The sequence below is a fragment of the Homo sapiens genome, chromosome 19 (genome assembly GCF_000001405.40).
Source record: "Homo sapiens chromosome 19, GRCh38.p14 Primary Assembly".
In the NCBI taxonomy this organism is placed as follows: Eukaryota; Metazoa; Chordata; class Mammalia; order Primates; family Hominidae; genus Homo; species Homo sapiens.
The window spans coordinates 2268331-2283541 of NC_000019.10; the positions used below are offsets into that span (position 1 = coordinate 2268331).

General features: G+C 60.4%; 2 protein-coding genes and 1 long non-coding RNA gene across 4 annotated transcripts, besides 13 other annotated features; 1 reads left to right on the top strand and 2 right to left on the bottom strand.

Annotated features, from left to right (window-relative positions):
* Positions 1 to 162: 162 nt before the first annotated feature.
* On the bottom strand, positions 163 to 923 carry LOC105372240 (uncharacterized). The gene is made up of 2 exons (XR_936242.3): positions 772 to 923; positions 163 to 542 (listed from the first exon to the last, which is right to left on the bottom strand). It is a non-coding gene; the product is annotated as an uncharacterized LOC105372240 (long non-coding RNA).
* Positions 723 to 1212: a silencer, noted in NCBI's record as "silent region_9777". NCBI's record gives its function as "represses an Ori minimal core promoter by ATAC-STARR-seq in GM12878 lymphoblastoid cells {active_cell/tissue: GM12878}" and the evidence as "EXISTENCE:reporter gene assay evidence [ECO:0000049][PMID:35858748]".
* Positions 723 to 1469: a biological region, named in NCBI's record as "NANOG-H3K27ac-H3K4me1 hESC enhancer GRCh37_chr19:2269184-2269798".
* Positions 855 to 1469: an enhancer, noted in NCBI's record as "NANOG-H3K27ac-H3K4me1 hESC enhancer chr19:2269184-2269798 (GRCh37/hg19 assembly coordinates)". NCBI's record gives its function as "activates a minimal SCP1, AML or CMV promoter by ChIP-STARR-seq in primed H9 embryonic stem cells {active_cell/tissue: H9 hESC(primed)}" and the evidence as "EXISTENCE:reporter gene assay evidence [ECO:0000049][PMID:30033119]".
* OAZ1 (ornithine decarboxylase antizyme 1) lies at positions 1156 to 5158 on the top strand. Of its 2 annotated transcripts, none has more exon segments than NM_004152.3 (5): positions 1156 to 1414; positions 3055 to 3200; positions 3452 to 3624; positions 4405 to 4490; positions 4642 to 5158. In NM_004152.3, coding segments are annotated over 5 exon segments (687 nt in total). In that variant the 5' UTR covers positions 1156 to 1268; the 3' UTR covers positions 4779 to 5158.
* Positions 2178 to 2237: a silencer, noted in NCBI's record as "silent region_9778". NCBI's record gives its function as "represses an Ori minimal core promoter by ATAC-STARR-seq in GM12878 lymphoblastoid cells {active_cell/tissue: GM12878}" and the evidence as "EXISTENCE:reporter gene assay evidence [ECO:0000049][PMID:35858748]".
* Positions 2448 to 2647: a silencer, noted in NCBI's record as "silent region_9779". NCBI's record gives its function as "represses an Ori minimal core promoter by ATAC-STARR-seq in GM12878 lymphoblastoid cells {active_cell/tissue: GM12878}" and the evidence as "EXISTENCE:reporter gene assay evidence [ECO:0000049][PMID:35858748]".
* Positions 2658 to 2997: a silencer, noted in NCBI's record as "silent region_9780". NCBI's record gives its function as "represses an Ori minimal core promoter by ATAC-STARR-seq in GM12878 lymphoblastoid cells {active_cell/tissue: GM12878}" and the evidence as "EXISTENCE:reporter gene assay evidence [ECO:0000049][PMID:35858748]".
* Positions 4207 to 4266: an enhancer, noted in NCBI's record as "active region_13672". NCBI's record gives its function as "activates an Ori minimal core promoter by ATAC-STARR-seq in GM12878 lymphoblastoid cells {active_cell/tissue: GM12878}" and the evidence as "EXISTENCE:reporter gene assay evidence [ECO:0000049][PMID:35858748]".
* Positions 4277 to 4336: an enhancer, noted in NCBI's record as "active region_13673". NCBI's record gives its function as "activates an Ori minimal core promoter by ATAC-STARR-seq in GM12878 lymphoblastoid cells {active_cell/tissue: GM12878}" and the evidence as "EXISTENCE:reporter gene assay evidence [ECO:0000049][PMID:35858748]".
* Positions 4537 to 4686: a silencer, noted in NCBI's record as "silent region_9781". NCBI's record gives its function as "represses an Ori minimal core promoter by ATAC-STARR-seq in GM12878 lymphoblastoid cells {active_cell/tissue: GM12878}" and the evidence as "EXISTENCE:reporter gene assay evidence [ECO:0000049][PMID:35858748]".
* Positions 5147 to 5396: a silencer, noted in NCBI's record as "silent region_9782". NCBI's record gives its function as "represses an Ori minimal core promoter by ATAC-STARR-seq in GM12878 lymphoblastoid cells {active_cell/tissue: GM12878}" and the evidence as "EXISTENCE:reporter gene assay evidence [ECO:0000049][PMID:35858748]".
* Positions 5777 to 5916: an enhancer, noted in NCBI's record as "active region_13674". NCBI's record gives its function as "activates an Ori minimal core promoter by ATAC-STARR-seq in GM12878 lymphoblastoid cells {active_cell/tissue: GM12878}" and the evidence as "EXISTENCE:reporter gene assay evidence [ECO:0000049][PMID:35858748]".
* On the bottom strand, positions 6301 to 13845 carry PEAK3 (PEAK family member 3). Its single transcript, NM_198532.3, has 4 exons — positions 13757 to 13845; positions 12520 to 12605; positions 10254 to 10783; positions 6301 to 8159 (listed from the first exon to the last, which is right to left on the bottom strand). The coding sequence occupies exons 2-4, from the start codon at positions 12599 to 12601 to the stop codon at positions 7350 to 7352; spliced, it is 1422 nt and encodes a 473-aa protein (NP_940934.1). The 5' UTR covers positions 12602 to 12605; positions 13757 to 13845; the 3' UTR covers positions 6301 to 7349.
* Positions 6721 to 7655: an enhancer, noted in NCBI's record as "H3K27ac-H3K4me1 hESC enhancer chr19:2275050-2275984 (GRCh37/hg19 assembly coordinates)". NCBI's record gives its function as "activates a minimal SCP1, AML or CMV promoter by ChIP-STARR-seq in primed H9 embryonic stem cells {active_cell/tissue: H9 hESC(primed)}" and the evidence as "EXISTENCE:reporter gene assay evidence [ECO:0000049][PMID:30033119]".
* Positions 13561 to 13700: an enhancer, noted in NCBI's record as "active region_13675". NCBI's record gives its function as "activates an Ori minimal core promoter by ATAC-STARR-seq in GM12878 lymphoblastoid cells {active_cell/tissue: GM12878}" and the evidence as "EXISTENCE:reporter gene assay evidence [ECO:0000049][PMID:35858748]".
* Positions 13846 to 15211: the final 1366 nt, after the last annotated feature.

Below are 15211 nucleotides of genomic sequence, written 5' to 3' on the forward strand. Positions count from 1 at the left end.
TGGGAGGCGGAGGTTGCAGCGAGCCGAGATTGCGCCACTGCACTCCAGCCTGGGTGACAGCCAGGCCCGGTCGCAAACAAAACAAAATTAAAACCATGAAAGGAATCAGGATTTGCCAGGAGTAGCATTTTTGCTTGGTAAGAACAAAATTTTGTTTATACATGAAATAAAAAATATTTTATTAAACCTCACTGCAAAGTGGCAACTTTTTGCTAAATTCATAATTTAGTCTACACACAAGCTATGTACCCGTATGTGACTGCCAAGAGTTATATCTTTGCTTATTAAAAGCAAAGTGCAGTTCATACCTGAGATTTTTTTTCTGGATTTAACCAGGAGGGGAAATATTTTTGCTAGGTAAGTCCACATTTTACCTCACAGGCGAAACAGTTTACCGAACTTGACCACCAAAGAAATCGTTTTTTCCTTGGGAGATCCACATTTTAGTTCATACATGAGATGTGTTTCTGAATTTTAACTGCCAGGAGTAGTGTTTTTCCTTAGGGTAAGTTTCAGTTTCCACAGGAAAAATCTGAATTTATCTGCAAGGAGTAAAATTTTTGCTTAAGTCCAAATTGTACACGAAATATTTTACTAAATTTGAATATCTTTAACATTGGAAGTTCTTTTTTTTTAAACACTGGAAGCATTTTAAGAACTGCAAGACCAAATTTAAAAAAATAAAACCAGTAATATCATCGATGATTACCAGGTGTTACTGGAAATAATTCTGGCGCGGTTGGACAACCCCCCAAGCACCCGGGGGCCTACCCAGGGGAGGGGTCCCGCTGCGTGAAGGGACCCTAGGGAGGGCGACGTGGACCACGACAGACAAACGGGCACTCGAAGACCCCCGAAAATCGGCCCCAGCGAGCCGCCCCCGCCCCCAAGGCACGATTGTGGGGGCGGGGACGGCTCGGGGCGCGCGCAGCGCGTACCCGGCGCCACGGCAGCCCCGCCCCCAGAAGGACGCGCGCAGGAGGGGGCGTGGCCCGAGGCTCACCAACCAATCTCCAGAGAGCCTCTTCCTTTCCCTTTCCCTTTCACCAATCAGGCGCTGGGAGGGGCGGGCGCGACTTTTTTTCCCGGCGGCCCCGCGGCTCTGCCCCTCGTGCGGTCGCGTTCCCGGCGGCGCGGGGGGCGTGGCCTGGGCGCAGCATCTATAAAGGCGGGCGGCGGCAGAGGCGCCATTTTGCGAACGGCGAGCAGCGGCGGCGGCGCGGAGAGACGCAGCGGAGGTTTTCCTGGTTTCGGACCCCAGCGGCCGGATGGTGAAATCCTCCCTGCAGCGGATCCTCAATAGCCACTGCTTCGCCAGAGAGAAGGAAGGGGATAAACCCAGCGCCACCATCCACGCCAGCCGCACCATGCCGCTCCTAAGCCTGCACAGCCGCGGCGGCAGCAGCAGTGAGAGGTAAGTGCCCCGCCCCCGTCCGAAGCTTCCAGAAGCGCCGGCCGCGCAGGCCTGCGGGGGGCCGTCCTCGGGGCGCCAGATAGGTCCCCGGCGCGCGAGATCCGCCCCTTTGTCAAGGCCAGAATCGCGCCGGGGACGAGGTAGGCGCAGGGCGGGCCTGGAGGTCCCCCCCGGCCTTAGCAGTGCTCTCGGGGGAGTCGGGTTTGGGGGGCAAGGGTGCGGAGTTGGATTTGGGGGGCACCGTCCGGGGCGCCTGATTTGCGGGAGGGGCATGGGTCGGAGGTCGGATTTGGGCGCAGGACGGGGAGTCGGGGGAGGCGTGTGTCTTTTGCGGGGTTCGCGGGATGGGACTCGGCTTCGGAGGAGGGGAGAGGCTTCTGGTCGAGGGTTGGATTTGCGGGGCGCAGACTGGGAATTCGGTTTGGAGGAAGGGTGTGCGGTCGGGTCGGATTTGGGAGGCGCAGGATGGGGCAATCTGGTTGGGGGCGGGGTCGGCCTTGGGGGGCTGGTCCGCGGACAGGCAGGGCCCGCGGGGCTGGTGAATCTGCACTTTTCGGTCCCGGCCGTCGAGCGTGCGCTGCGGGAGCGGGGAGCGCTTTGCGGTGGACGAGCTCCCGCGGGTCCCTGTTGCCTCGATGTGGCCCCTGCACGCGACGGACCTCGTGGGCCCCGTTTTTCGCCCCTGAGCGAGTCGGTCTGGATGGCCCGGGACGCGCCGGGCGAGGCCGCGCACGTAGACGGCACCCAGGGCTTCTCCGCGGGGGCCGCCGGGGAGCTGGGGGTGGCGCACTCCGACAGCCCGGCAGCGCCCTGGGAAGACCCCCGCCGCTTCCCGGGAAGACGCGTCCCGCTTCCGGGGGCGCGGGTGCCAGCTGCGGTTGTGGGGGAGCCCGCGGGGTCTCGGTCGAGCTTTCCCGACTGCGTCCCCCGAGGTGGGCGTCGCTCAGCCCCGGATCGGGAGGTTGGGCCGCGGTGCTGGCGGTGCCGCGGTTTGGGGGCCGTGCAAAATGGAGGCAACTTTGGGGCCTGTTTACCCTGCGCAGCAAATGGCTGCTGGCGCTGCCGGCTGCGCGATTGTGAAAATCTCCCCCGGGGCGCGAGGCCGCGTCTGCCTGGATGACGCAACCGGGAGGGCCCGGGCCTGGAGCGGGGGCGGGGGGGCGGGCGGCCGGGAGCCGGAGCGGGGCGCGTCCTCCATGAGGTCAGGCTAGGCCCGCCCGGTCTTCGCGGGGACAAGCAAGAGTCCCAGATTTTGGCCGTAGTGCAGGGTGGAAAGGGGAAGCCGCGACAGAACTGAAAAGGGGAAGCGCTGGCTGTCTTGGTGGCCGGGGGGTGAGGCTCTGCCCCGGCGGGGCTGCGTGAGGGGAAGGGGCCCCCCGCCCTGGGAAGGTTGGGCTGTCCTGGGCGGCGCCGCCCGAGGAGTCGGGGCTCAGTGACTGCTGCCCTTGTAGGTGCTTGGGGCAGGCGTTGGAGCTGCCTTCGGGAAGCCTCGGGGGTGTGGGACCGGGTGGGCCCCTGCCTGGGCGGGGCGGGGTCTTTTGGCCGAGGCAGGGGTGGGGATGTGCTGAAGGCCGCCCGGACGCCCTGGAGGGGTCTCCGCCCGGAGCCTGGCGCTGCCTCGTGACCTGCATCATCTTCAGTTCCAGGGTCTCCCTCCACTGCTGTAGTAACCCGGGTCCGGGGCCTCGGTGGTGCTCCTGATGCCCCTCACCCACCCCTGAAGATCCCAGGTGGGCGAGGGAATAGTCAGAGGGATCACAATCTTTCAGCTAACTTATTCTACTCCGTGAGTATGGGGCCGGGCCTGCTGGGGCTGCTCTGGGGCCACAGGTACTTTCTTGTGCACCTTGCTGCCCGTACCTGTGATTGAATGTAATCGTGGGAACCCTGAGTTTCATCAGAGCCGGCGCACAGTCTCCTGCAGCCCAGGCGTTGCCTGAGCTCAACACGGCCTAGGCCCAAGCTTTAGCGCTGCCGGGTTCTTGGAGTCCTGTGGGGTGAGTCAGGGTTCTGAATTGGGCTGCACCCCCTGGACAGGATGATCGGCTGAATGTAACAGAGGAACTAACGTCCAACGACAAGACGAGGATTCTCAACGTCCAGTCCAGGCTCACAGACGCCAAACGCATTAACTGGCGAACAGTGCTGAGTGGCGGCAGCCTCTACATCGAGATCCCGGGCGGCGCGCTGCCCGAGGGGAGCAAGGACAGGTGAGGGGCAAGGACAGGCAGGGAGTGCTCACCCAGGGGAGCAGGGACCAGGTGAGGGGCAAGGACAGGCGGGGAGTGCTCACCCAGGGGAGCAGGGACCAGGTGCGGGTTGCTGCCCAAGGGGTGCAGGGACAGATGAGGGAGGGCACTGCCTTCAGGCAGCACATATGGGGGCCACCATCGCTTTGTTGGTGGGGACAGGGTCCCCCCTTTTTTTTTTTTTTGAGATGGAGTCTTGCTTTTGTTGCCCAGGCTGGAGTGCAGTGGCATGATCTTGGCTCACTGCAACCTCTGCCTTCCGGGTTCAAGCGATTCTCCTGCCTCAGCCTCCCGAGTAGCTGGGCTTACAGGCGCCCGCCACCGATGCCCAGCTAATTTTTGTGTTTTTAGTAGAGACGAGGTTTCGCTATGTTGGCCAGGCTGGTCTTGAACTCCTGACCTCGTGATCCGCCCACCTCGGCCTCCCAAAGTGCTGGGATTACAGGCGTGAGCTACCGCTCCCGGCCTGGGGTCCCTTTTTAAAAAGTGCACTCCAAATTCGTACCCTGGGATTCTACCCTCCAAGGGATGCCAGGCAGTGTCAGAGCTTTTCTGTCATGGGGCATGCACGTGGGTGGGTGCAGCGGTGCTGCTCAACACTGTGGTGTCAGGACGGCCCCACCCAGAGGACGATCTGGGCCCCAGGGGGACCCTGGAGTAGAGCGGGCCTCAGGGTAGCTGCTAAGGCCCAGGAGGTAGGCAGGTGGGTCGGGCCAGCCGAGACGCTGACACTCGCTGCAGCTTTGCAGTTCTCCTGGAGTTCGCTGAGGAGCAGCTGCGAGCCGACCATGTCTTCATTTGCTTCCACAAGAACCGCGAGGACAGAGGTAGGTGACCCGTATCGCCTGCAGTAGGGTGCGTGGGGGTGCCTGCGCCGCCCCTTCATTCTCAGCCCGCAGGCACGGTCTCCCTGCGGGGGTGGGGGGTGCGGGCGGGGGGTTCTGGTCGGCAGGGGTTCTGACGGCTTCTCCCCCGCAGCCGCCTTGCTCCGAACCTTCAGCTTTTTGGGCTTTGAGATTGTGAGACCGGGGCATCCCCTTGTCCCCAAGAGACCCGACGCTTGCTTCATGGCCTACACGTTCGAGAGAGAGTCTTCGGGAGAGGAGGAGGAGTAGGGCCGCCTCGGGGCTGGGCATCCGGCCCCTGGGGCCACCCCTTGTCAGCCGGGTGGGTAGGAACCGTAGACTCGCTCATCTCGCCTGGGTTTGTCCGCATGTTGTAATCGTGCAAATAAACGCTCACTCCGAATTAGCGGTGTATTTCTTGAAGTTTAATATTGTGTTTGTGATACTGAAGTATTTGCTTTAATTCTAAATAAAAATTTATATTTTACTTTTTTATTGCTGGTTTAAGATGATTCAGATTATCCTTGTACTTTGAGGAGAAGTTTCTTATTTGGAGTCTTTTGGAAACAGTCTTAGTCTTTTAACTTGGAAAGATGAGGTATTAATCCCCTCCATTGCTCTCCAAAAGCCAATAAAGTGATTACACCCGATGCACCTGGCTCTGTGGTGGTGACGCTGGGGACTGGTGGGAGGAGTGCCTGGGACCACAGAGGGCCCTGGGTGGAGGGGTCGCGGGGGATTTGGCACCCAGGCAGCTGCGGGACCCCTCCCACGGAGGAGACCCCCTGGGCTGGGAGGCCGGGCCCTCAGCTTGGCGCCAGCCTTGCCACTGCTCGCTTGAAGCCCCTTCCTGCCTCGCGTCCCCTTCCGCCCCAGCCTGGGCCTGCGCATGGGGATGTCTGTGCTCCCAACTCAACTTTTGAGTTCGCCGTGTTACTGGCCGCCCCTAGGGACCTGCAGCGCCGTTCGGGGCAGCAGCACTTCCGGCGGGGTCGTGGCCTGGAGCGCTTCCGGGTCTGCAACCCCGCCGTCTGCCCGGCCGCAGCGCCACCTGCCGGCCGCATCCGGGAGCGCCACCCGGAAAATCAGGGCCAGGCCTGGCCGGGAAACCGGCTGGAAAGAGGAGGAAAGGAGGAACTCGAAAAGATTGTAGACTTGGCGAGCGGGCCGGGGGGATATTCAGCCGTCTGAGCGGTGGTGGGGTCGGCCGGGAGGACAAACCTGGACACAGATACCCCCAGCTCATTTGGGCAGCGCAAATGCAGAGAAGGGGCATTAGAGCTGAGGCCATGCAGGATGAATAGGAGTATGAAGCAGAGTAGAGGGGGCTGTTTTCTGGTGTAAAAAACAACTTGGGCAAAGGCGTGGAGGCTGGAAAGTAACCTCCAGGGATGAACGACATGGGGTTGGAGACTCTGAGGAGACTTTGGAAGAGCCCTGTATGTATTCTGAGGCACTGGGGAGCCATGGGAGGTGTTTGAGCTGGAGAGGGACCTCATATCTGGGGTTGGAAAGATCCTCCCAGGACTGCCATGGGGAATGGAATGGAGGGGCAACTCTGAGTCTCCAGGAAGGAAGCCACAGGCAAGGGCAGTGCAGTGTGTCAGAGGCATAAAGGAAGACTCCATCCCCCTCCAGTGAGTCTCCTCTGTGCCTGTTTATTACATCATCCTGTGGTATTAAGTGAGCACCTACTGTGTGCCAAGCCTGGCCTTTGCCCCCAGGGAACTCACAGCCTTGTGGACAGTAACAGAGGAATAAATGCTCCTGAGAGTGGGCGGAGAACGCAGGGTAAGGAGCTAGCGATGGCCCAGAGTGGGCACCTTTATTTGTTTAGAGAAAGTGAAACTGTAGCCGGGCGCGGTGGCTCACGCCTGTAATCCCAGCACTTTGGGAGGCCGAGGCGGACGGATCACGAGGTCAGGAGATGGAGACCATCCTGGCTAACACGGAGAAACCCCGTCTCTACTAAAAATACAAAAAATTAGCCGGGCGTGGTGGCGGGCGCCTGTAGTCCCAGCTACTCGGGAGGCTGAGGCAGGAGAATGGCGTGAACCCGGGAGGCGGAGCTTGCAGTAAGCCGAGATCGTCTCAAAAAAAAAAAAAAAAAAAAAAGAAAAAGAAAGTGGAACTGGAACAGTATGGCAGAGGGAACAGCCTACACAAATGCTTGGGGGCGCGAAAGAAGTTGGTGTGTCACGGAGGAACAGGGAGGGAGGCAGGGTGGGCGCAGAGGGATTGAGGGGAGGTGGCAGGGAACCGCGGGGACTGTTTTAGGGAAGGTGAGTCCAGACCCCGCTGAGATGAGCTGGGTGTCTAAGGTCCCAGGGAGCCTTCCCTTCCCGTGACACCACCAAGCAATTCTCCACCAGGGACAGGGGCATTCACATGCCCAAAATCACTGGCCATCTTCAGCACAAGGGGGTGCTCCAGAGCCAGGAATGCCTCTGGTCCCGGCATTGGCCTCTCATGGAGACAATGACAGAACCCACGCGGAAGAGCGCCCTGGCTGCTGGGGAAGGCAGAACACAGAGAGACATTGATCAGCGGGGTTGTCCACACCTGGAAGTGGCGTGGGGGCCCTGGCTTCAGAGAGCTGCTGCCCAACACAGGAGGCGCTGGCCAGCCCCCAGCCCTGGAGGGGCAGCTGCATTCCTGGGAAGCCCTTGACCCACATCCCCAGCACGGGAGGGGAGGCTCTGGAGTGGGGCATTGCTCTCTCTGCTGCGCTCCTGGACTCTGCAGGAAGAGGGTGTCTTGGCTATCATGGAGACGCTGACCTCAGCCCCAGCCCTGCCTCCTGGGCAGGCCTGGACCAGGTGTGTTCGCCCTGGGTTGGGGTCAGTCCCACAGCAGCGCCAGGGCCTGGCCCATCGAGGACTCGGTGGCCTCGGCCAGGTATTCGCAACACAGCCAGTCCTCGAGGCTGGGAGCTTCCCCACCTGCGGCCCGCTCTGCTAGGCGCAGGACCAGCAGCCCGCGGCGCACCCGCAGCCAGGGCCCGAGCGCTCGGAGCCAGGGACCAAGCGGTGCTCCGCGGCCGCGCAGCTCAGGCCCGGGCCCCCAGAGCAGCGCCTGCAGCGCGCCCCGCGTCCGGGACGCCGAGGGCCGCAAGCGGGTCAGCTGTGCTGCCAGGAGCTCCAGGCCCGCGGCCAAAGGCGTGGTCGAGGGCGCAGCAAGGCTGAGCAGCGCTCGGAGGAGGCTGCCCAGCTGCGGCGCGTGGGGGCCCGGGGATCCCGGGGGTCCAGGGGGCTGCAGACAGACGCGGCCAAAGTCAGTGAGGAGCAGGCGTGGGGGCCCCGTCGTCGCACAGCCCCGAGGTGCCACCAGCAGCAAGTTCTCCGGCCGCAACTCGACTAGGGCCGCGCCCCACGCCTCCAGGAACTTCAGGGCCGCGCTCAGCTGCAGCAGCAGCAGGGCCACAGCCCACACGAACTCCTCCGGCGGCTGCGTGCAGGCCTCCGCCAGCCACTGCGCCACCGTGCGCTCTGGAACCTCGGCTGCCAGCGCCACTGCGCCTCTCCAGGGCGCCCCGGGCAGTGTGCCTTCAGGCACCAGGCCACACAGCCCCTGCAGATTGAAGTGTGGAGACAGGGAGGCCTGCAGCTCCAGGCCCCACGGGTGGGGCACGTCCGCCCCGGGCTTGGGCACCTGCAAGGCAGAGGGGGTGTCGGGGCCTGGATCACTGGGCCCCCCACAAGCACCGCCTGCCCCAGTGCTACCTGCCCCGAAGCCTCCCACGCACACCCCCAAACTGCCCCCACTACGGCTAGGGGCTGCCTGCATCCCTCCAGCAGCAGGAGGTCAGTGTTAATTTGGAAGTTAGTCACCAGTAAGGACTTTCAGGAAAGTTAAGCCAGGGAAGAAGATGTTCCTGGGCAATGAGTTCGAAAGCAGATTCCTGGGCCGGGCGCGGTGGCTCACGCCTTCCCAGCACTTTGGGAGGCAGGGGGATCGCTGAGGTCAGGAGTTCGAGACCAGCCTGGCCAACGCAGGGAACGCTCGTCTCTACTAAAAAATGCAAAACTAGCTGGGCGTGGTGGCGCGCCTGTCATCCCAGCTACTTCGGAGGCTGAGGTGAGAGAATCGCTTGAGCCCGGGAGGTGGAGGTTGCAGTGAGCCGAGAACGCGCCACTGCACTCCAGCCTGGGCAACAGAGTGAGACTCTGTCTCAAAAACAAAAAACAAAACAAAAAACACAAAAGCAGATCCCCGGCCAGAGAGGTGTGGGAGGGGTTTTGACAAGAGCTCCAAGGCCATACCCATGGCCCCATACTTTAGAAACATGGTTTCCTGGGTTAACTGCGTTGATTCACGTGTTAGTTGCAAAATAAACAAGTCTAATATGGTCTGGATCTGTGTCCCCACCAAATCTCATTCCCCAGTGTTGGAGGTGGGGTCTGGTGGGAGGCGACTTGGATCTTGGGGGTGGTTTATCATGAATGGCTCAGCACCATCTCCCTTGGCACTGTCGTTGGGATAACGAGTGAGTTCTCGTGAGATCTGGCTGTGTAAAGGTGAGTAGCACCTCCTCCCTCCCTTCCTCCTGCTCCCACCGTGTGAGATGCCTGCTCCCGCCTCGCCTTCCACTATGATTGGAAGCTTCCTGAGGCCTCCCCAGAAGCAGAAGCCACCAGAACCATGAGCCAATTAAGGCCCTTTTCTCTATAAATTACCCAGTCTCCAGTATTCCTTTTTCTTTTCTTTTCTTTTTTCTTCTCTTTTGTTTTTCTTTTTTGAGACAGAGTCTCACTCTGTCGCCCAGGCTGGAGTGCAATAGCCCAATTTTCGAATCTCAGCTCACTGCAACCTCCGCCTCCCAGGTTCAAGTGATTCTCCTGCCTTAGCCTCCAAGTAGCTGGGACTTCAGGTGCGCACCACCGCGCCCGGCTAATTTTTGTATTTTTAGTAGAGATGGGGGTTTCACTATGTTGGCCAGGCTGGTCTCGAACTCCTGACCTCATGATCTGCCCGCCTTGGCCTTCCAAAGTGCTGAGATTACAGGCGTCAGCCACTGTGCTGCCCAGCCTTTTTTTTTTTTTTTAGACGGAGTCTCGCTCTGTCGCCCAGGCTGGAGCGCAGTGGTGCGTTCTCGGCTCACCGCAAGCTCTGCCCCCTGGGTTCATGCCATTCTCCTGCTTCAGCCTCCCAAATAGCTGGGACTACAGGTGCCCACCACCACGCCCGGCTAATTTTTTGTCTTTTTAGTAGAAACAGGGTTTCACCGTGTTAGCCAGGATGGTCTGTATCTCCTGACCTCGTGATCTGCCCGCCTCGGCCTCCCAAAGTGCTGGGATTACAGGTGTGAGCCACTGTGCCCGGCCTTTTTCTTTTTTTTTTTTTTGAGACGGAGTCTCACTCTGTTGCCCAGGCTGGAGTGCAATGGCCCAATCTTGGCTTACTGCAACCTCTGCCTCCCGGGTTCAAGCAATTCTCCTGCCTCAGTCTCCCAAGTAGCTGGGTTTACAGGCGCCCGCCACCACACCTAATTTTTGTATTTTTAGTAGAGGCTGGGTTTCACCATGTTGGCCAGGCTGGTCTTGAACTCCTGACCTCAGCTGATCCGCCCGCCTTGGCCTCCCAAAGTGCTGGGATGACAGGCGTGAGCCACCGCGCCCGGCTCCAGTATTTCTTTACAGCAGTGTGAGAACTGACTCACAGAAAGGCCAAATGAAACAAGCCCTGGGTTATGTCTAAGATGGGGCACTGGGGACACCTCAGAGAGGGTGGGGCTGTGGGGCTCACCTTGGCGACCAGGATGTGCCAGGCGTCCTCGTGCGCGCGCACCACGCGGTAATACAGGGCGTCCCCGCTCTCTGCGCAGGGTGAGCTGTCTAGGAGGCGGAAGCTGTGGCCGGGGTGGCAGGGCCCGGGGTGGCCCCCCATGAGCCGGGCACGGAGCCGGGCATAGATGGTACGGAGGCCCTGCAGCTGCCGCGCAGCCAGTGCAGTGTGCACAGCCTCCGGGCTGTGCAGATCGCGGAGGGAGAGGCCCAGTGGGGCGTCAGCCGGGCCAAAGGTCAGCTCTGCAGGGAGACAGGCTGGTCCCACTGCAGCCTGGCTCTTGTCCACACTGTGGGACCCCAGAAAGGGTCTCCGAGGCGGCTGTACTTGGATGGAGCTGGGATGGAGGGTCCTGCGGGTGGGCAGTGACTGGGTCCGGGTTAGGATCTTCTTGGGCAGGGGTGGGGGCAGGGGCTCTGGGTTGGTGGAGAGGGACCCAGGGGTCCGGAGGCGGCAGGCCTTGGAGGGCAGCAGGTGGGCACGGATCTGACCTGCAGGGAGAGACAGTGGGGGAGGGTTGAGGACAGGCGGAGTGGGAACGGGACACGTGACTCCACCTCTCAGCCTCGGTTTCCCCATCTCTAACATGGAAGTAATGAGGCTGGGCGCCGGTGGCTCATGCTTGTAATCCCAGCACTTAGGAAGGTGGAAGCCGAGGCAGGAGGATCACTGGAACCTAGGGTTTGAGACCAGCCTGGGCAACATAGTGAGACCCTGTCTCTGCAAAAATTTTTTAAAAATTTGCCGGACGCGGCCATGCACAATGGCTCATGCCTGTAATTCCAGCACTTTGGGAGGCCGAGATGGGTGGATCACGAGGTCAGGAGATCGAGACCATCCTGGCTAACACGGTGAAACCCCGTCTTTACTAAAAATACAAAAAATTAGCCGGGCTTGGTGGTGGGCGCCTGTGGTCCCAGCTACTCGGGAGGCTGAGGCAGGAAAATTGTGTGAACTTGAGAAGTGGAGCTTGCAGTGAACCGAGATTGTGCCACTGCACTCCAGCCTGGGCGGCAGAGCTTACAGAAGGGGAAACTGAGGCTTATAGGAGGATGGATCAGTTTCAGAGAGTGATGCCACCCAGCACTCAGCGACTCCCACTTACCTCCGTGGCTTTGCACAAGCGTCTGTCTTGCTTTTTTTCTTTTTTGAAGTCTTGCTCTGTCGCCCAGCCTGGAGTGCAGTGGCACGATCTCGGCTCACTGCAACCTCCGCCTCCTAGGTTCAAGCGATTCTCCTACCTCAGCCTCCCAAGTAGCTGGGACTACAGGTGCCCGCCCGCCACTATGCCCAGCTAATTTTTGTATTTTTAGTAGAGATGGGGTTTCACCATGTTAGCCAGGCTGGTTTCAAACTCCTGACCTCAGGTGATCTGCCTGACTCGGCCTCCCAAAGTGCTGGGATTACAGGCTTGAACCATTGCACCTGGCCTTTTTTTTTTTTTTTTTTTTTTTTTTTGAGATGGAGTCTCCCTCTGTCGCCCAGGCTGGAGTGCGGTGGCTCAGTCTTGGCTCACTGCACCCTCTGCCTCACAGGTTCAAGCGATTCTCCTGCCTCAGCCTCCCGAGTAGCTGGAATTACAGGCATGCACCACCATGTCTGGCTAATTTTTGTATTTTTAGCAGAGACAGGTTTTGCCATGTTGGCCAGGCTGGTCTTGAACTCCTGGCCTCAAGTGATCCTCCTCCTTGGCCTCCCAAAGTGCTGGGATTAAAGGGTGGGATTACAGGCATGAGTTACCGTGCCCAGCCTCTCTCTCTTTTTAATGGTATATATTTTTTTCTATTTCATGGCTCACTGCAGCCTTGACCTCCTGGGCTCAAGGGATCCTCCCACCTCAGCTTCCCGAGCAGCTGGGACTGCAGGCTCTTGACACCATGTCCATCTCATTTTTTTTGTTTTGTAGAGATGGGGGGCGGGTCTCATTATATTGCCCAGGCCGGTCTTGAACTCCTGGCCTCAAGGGATCCACCTGCCTCAGCCTCCCAAGGTGCTGGGATTACAGGCGTGAGCCACCACGCCCCGCCCACCAACCCACAGGTTATTTTTCAGCCCTGGCCTACTCCGGGCCTTCCCGGAGGTCACTCATTTTACCAGCTGCTGCTGTTCCCAGAGGCCATGGTGCCCGGCAACCTCCTGCCGCTCCCTGCACCCACCTGCCGCTCCCTGCACCCCCCTGCCGCTCCCTGCACCCCCGCAGCCCAGGGCTCCCTGGGGAGCTGCTTACCAAGGTTGCTATACGTGGGCTGAGTCGACCAGGTGGGGTTGTCGGGCTCGGGGGGCTCTGTGGGGGGCTCCGGGCTGCTCATGTTGCTGGGGAAAGGTCAAACGGGGCGTGTGTGGGGTGACCGTGTGCACGCACAGGGCGACATGGGGAGGGGTCCGTGAGTGCTGGGGCCTGGGAGACCGTCGAGGCCTCCTGCTCCAGGGCCCTTGGTGAGAACAGGCGCACCCACACTCCACTCCCTTGTCCAGTTTTGACCCTGCTGTGTGATCCCGAGTGGGTTTCCTGTCCTCTCTGGGCCCCTGCTGTGTGATCCCGAGTGGGTTTCCTGTCCTCTCTGGGCCCCTGCTGTGTGATCCCGAGTGGGTTTCCTACTCTCTCTGGGCCCCTGCTGTGTGATTCTGAGTGGGTTTGCTGCCCTCTCTGGGGCCCTGCTGTGTGATCCTGAGTGGGTTTGCTGCCCTCTCTGGGCCCCTGATGTGTGATCCCGAGTGGGTTTCCTGCCCTCTCTGGGGCCCTGCTGTGTGATCCCGAGTGGGTTTCCTACTCTCTCTGGGCCCCTGCTGTGTGATTCTGAGTGGGTTTCCTGCCCTCTCTGGGGCCCTGCTGTGTGATCCCGAGTGGGTTTCCTACTCTCTCTGGGCCCCTGCTGTGTGATTCTGAGTGGGTTTGCTGCCCTCTCTGGGGCCCTGCTGTGTGATCCTGAGTGGGTTTGCTGCCCTCTCTGGGCCCCTGATGTGTGATCCCGAGTGGGTTTCCTGCCCTCTCTGGGGCCCTGCTGTGTGATCCCGAGTGGGTTTCCTGCCCTCTCTGGGGCCCTGCTGTGTGATCCCGAGTGGGTTTCCTACTCTCTCTGGGCCCCTGCTGTGTGATTCTGAGTGGGTTTCCTGCCCTCTCTGGGGCCCTGCTGTGTGATCCCGAGTGGGTTTCCTGCCCTCTCTGGGCCCACTTCCTCAATCATGAGGCAGGTCTGTCACCCATCAATTTTCCAGGCAGTGGGAAGGACCCCCCTCTGCACGTTTGGGATGGGGACAGAGTGTTCAGCCTGAGGACAGGCCTTTGGGGGTCAGTTGCGGGGGAGACAGTGTCCAGGGACCCAGGGATCCACACTCAGGCCTCATCCCCGAGGGCTCAGCCGTGCGGTTGCTGCCGGCAGCCAGGCCTCGACCCACCCCCGCCCAGATCCCAACCTCAAAAAGTGGCCGCTTCTGTCCAGCTCCCCGCTCCAGGAGCCCCCTACCTTCAAGACTGGCGTGCCCTCTGGGGGAGGAGGGGTCCGTGGGGACAAACTCCCAATGGCCACAGCCCCTGGCCTCGCAGGAGGGGTCTGACCTGGCGCCGGCAGCTGACAGGAAAACGTCCGGCCCACTGTCAGACCGCAGCCCGGGGTGGGGAGGGGACATTTCTGCAACACTTCCCCAGCAGCCGAGGCCGCCGCCTCCCCTGCCCGCCCGCAGAGGACAGGATGTAACCGGGAGGGAACAGCCTGGACAGAGACCAGGAGGTGGGATCTGAAAGTCAATAGCCCCAGGGCTGACAGCCGGGTGGGGGCAGTGGAAGGCCCCCCACAGCCTCAGAGGCCAGGCTGGGGTGCGGGGCAGTGGGGAGCCCTGTGAGATGGGGAGAGAGGGGCAGAGCTGGCCCACCGTAGGGGAGCGCACAGAACACGGTGGCGGCTGTCCCTGGAGAAGGTGCAAGTGGGGTCTGTGGGTTTCACTTCCCCGGGAACCACCTCCCCTCCTGCGGCAGCATCTGAGGAGCCCCCAGCGGCCCCCTGCCCCATCCCAGGGCCCCCGAATGTGGAGCGTGGGCGAGGACCCTCCCGGCTCTGCCGCGCCTCGCTGTGTGACTGCGGGCAAATCCCCACCCTCTCCGTGCTCCGGCGAAGAAAGAAGAGTGGCTCCCACATCCCGCCTGCTAACAGCCACGCCTGCTGGATTTTTCTTTGAAAAGATGGAATCGGCTCGTTTTCCCCCTTCCCCCTTCCTCACTGCCTCGATGCATTTATTTAGAAAAGACGTTTTAGATAAAATCACCATAAATGGAAAAATCAAGAATGGAAAAAACCCAAGGAAAAGCAGACGCGGGGTGAAATTCCAGCTGAACTGCGTGCCTGTCAAAACTGTCTTTTTCTTTGGAGACAGGGTCTCACACTGTTGCCCAGGCTGGAGCGCAGTGGTGCAATCCCAGCTCACTGCAGCCTGGAACGAGCTCCTGGGGCGATCCTCCCTCCTCGGCCTCCCAAAGTGCTAGGATCACAGGTGTGAGCCACCCTGCCCGGCCCCAAAGATGTTTTTGCTGCAAGGATTGAGTGTATTTTATGTGGGATCCCCGATCCCGTTTCCCTTAGGGAAAATGGGCCCAGAAAGAGTAGGGGCTCCATCCAGGGTCACGCAGCAGCTCGAGGCTGGGAGCAGAGGTCCACAGAGCCACTGCTGAGTCCCCCTGGCCTCCCCCAATCCCCTGAGAAGGGGCAGGAGGGGAAGGAGACTACATTTTTCTTATGAACTTCCCTTGAGTGGGTCCCATGCCACACTTTTTTTTCTTTGAGGCAGGGTCTAGCTCCGTCCCCTAGGCTGGAGTGCCGTGGTGTGATCATAGCTCACTGCAGCCTCCGCCTCCTGGGCTCAAGTGATTCTCCCACCTCAGCCTCCTGAGTAGCTGGGACCACTGGTGTGCACCACCATGCCTGGTT

Bases quoted from the DNA above. Each gene is read 5' to 3' on its own strand.
- PEAK3 (NM_198532.3), bottom strand. From the start codon at position 12,601: ATGAGCAGCCCGGAGCCCCCCACAGAGCCCCCCGAGCCCGACAACCCC. The intron at 10,784-12,519 runs GTAAGCAGCTCC...CTCTCCCTGCAG, and splicing joins GCCCACGTATAGCAACCTTG to GTCAGATCCGTGCCCACCTG. The intron at 8,160-10,253 runs GTGAGCCCCACA...TCTGCCTTGCAG, and splicing joins GGCACATCCTGGTCGCCAAG to GTGCCCAAGCCCGGGGCGGA.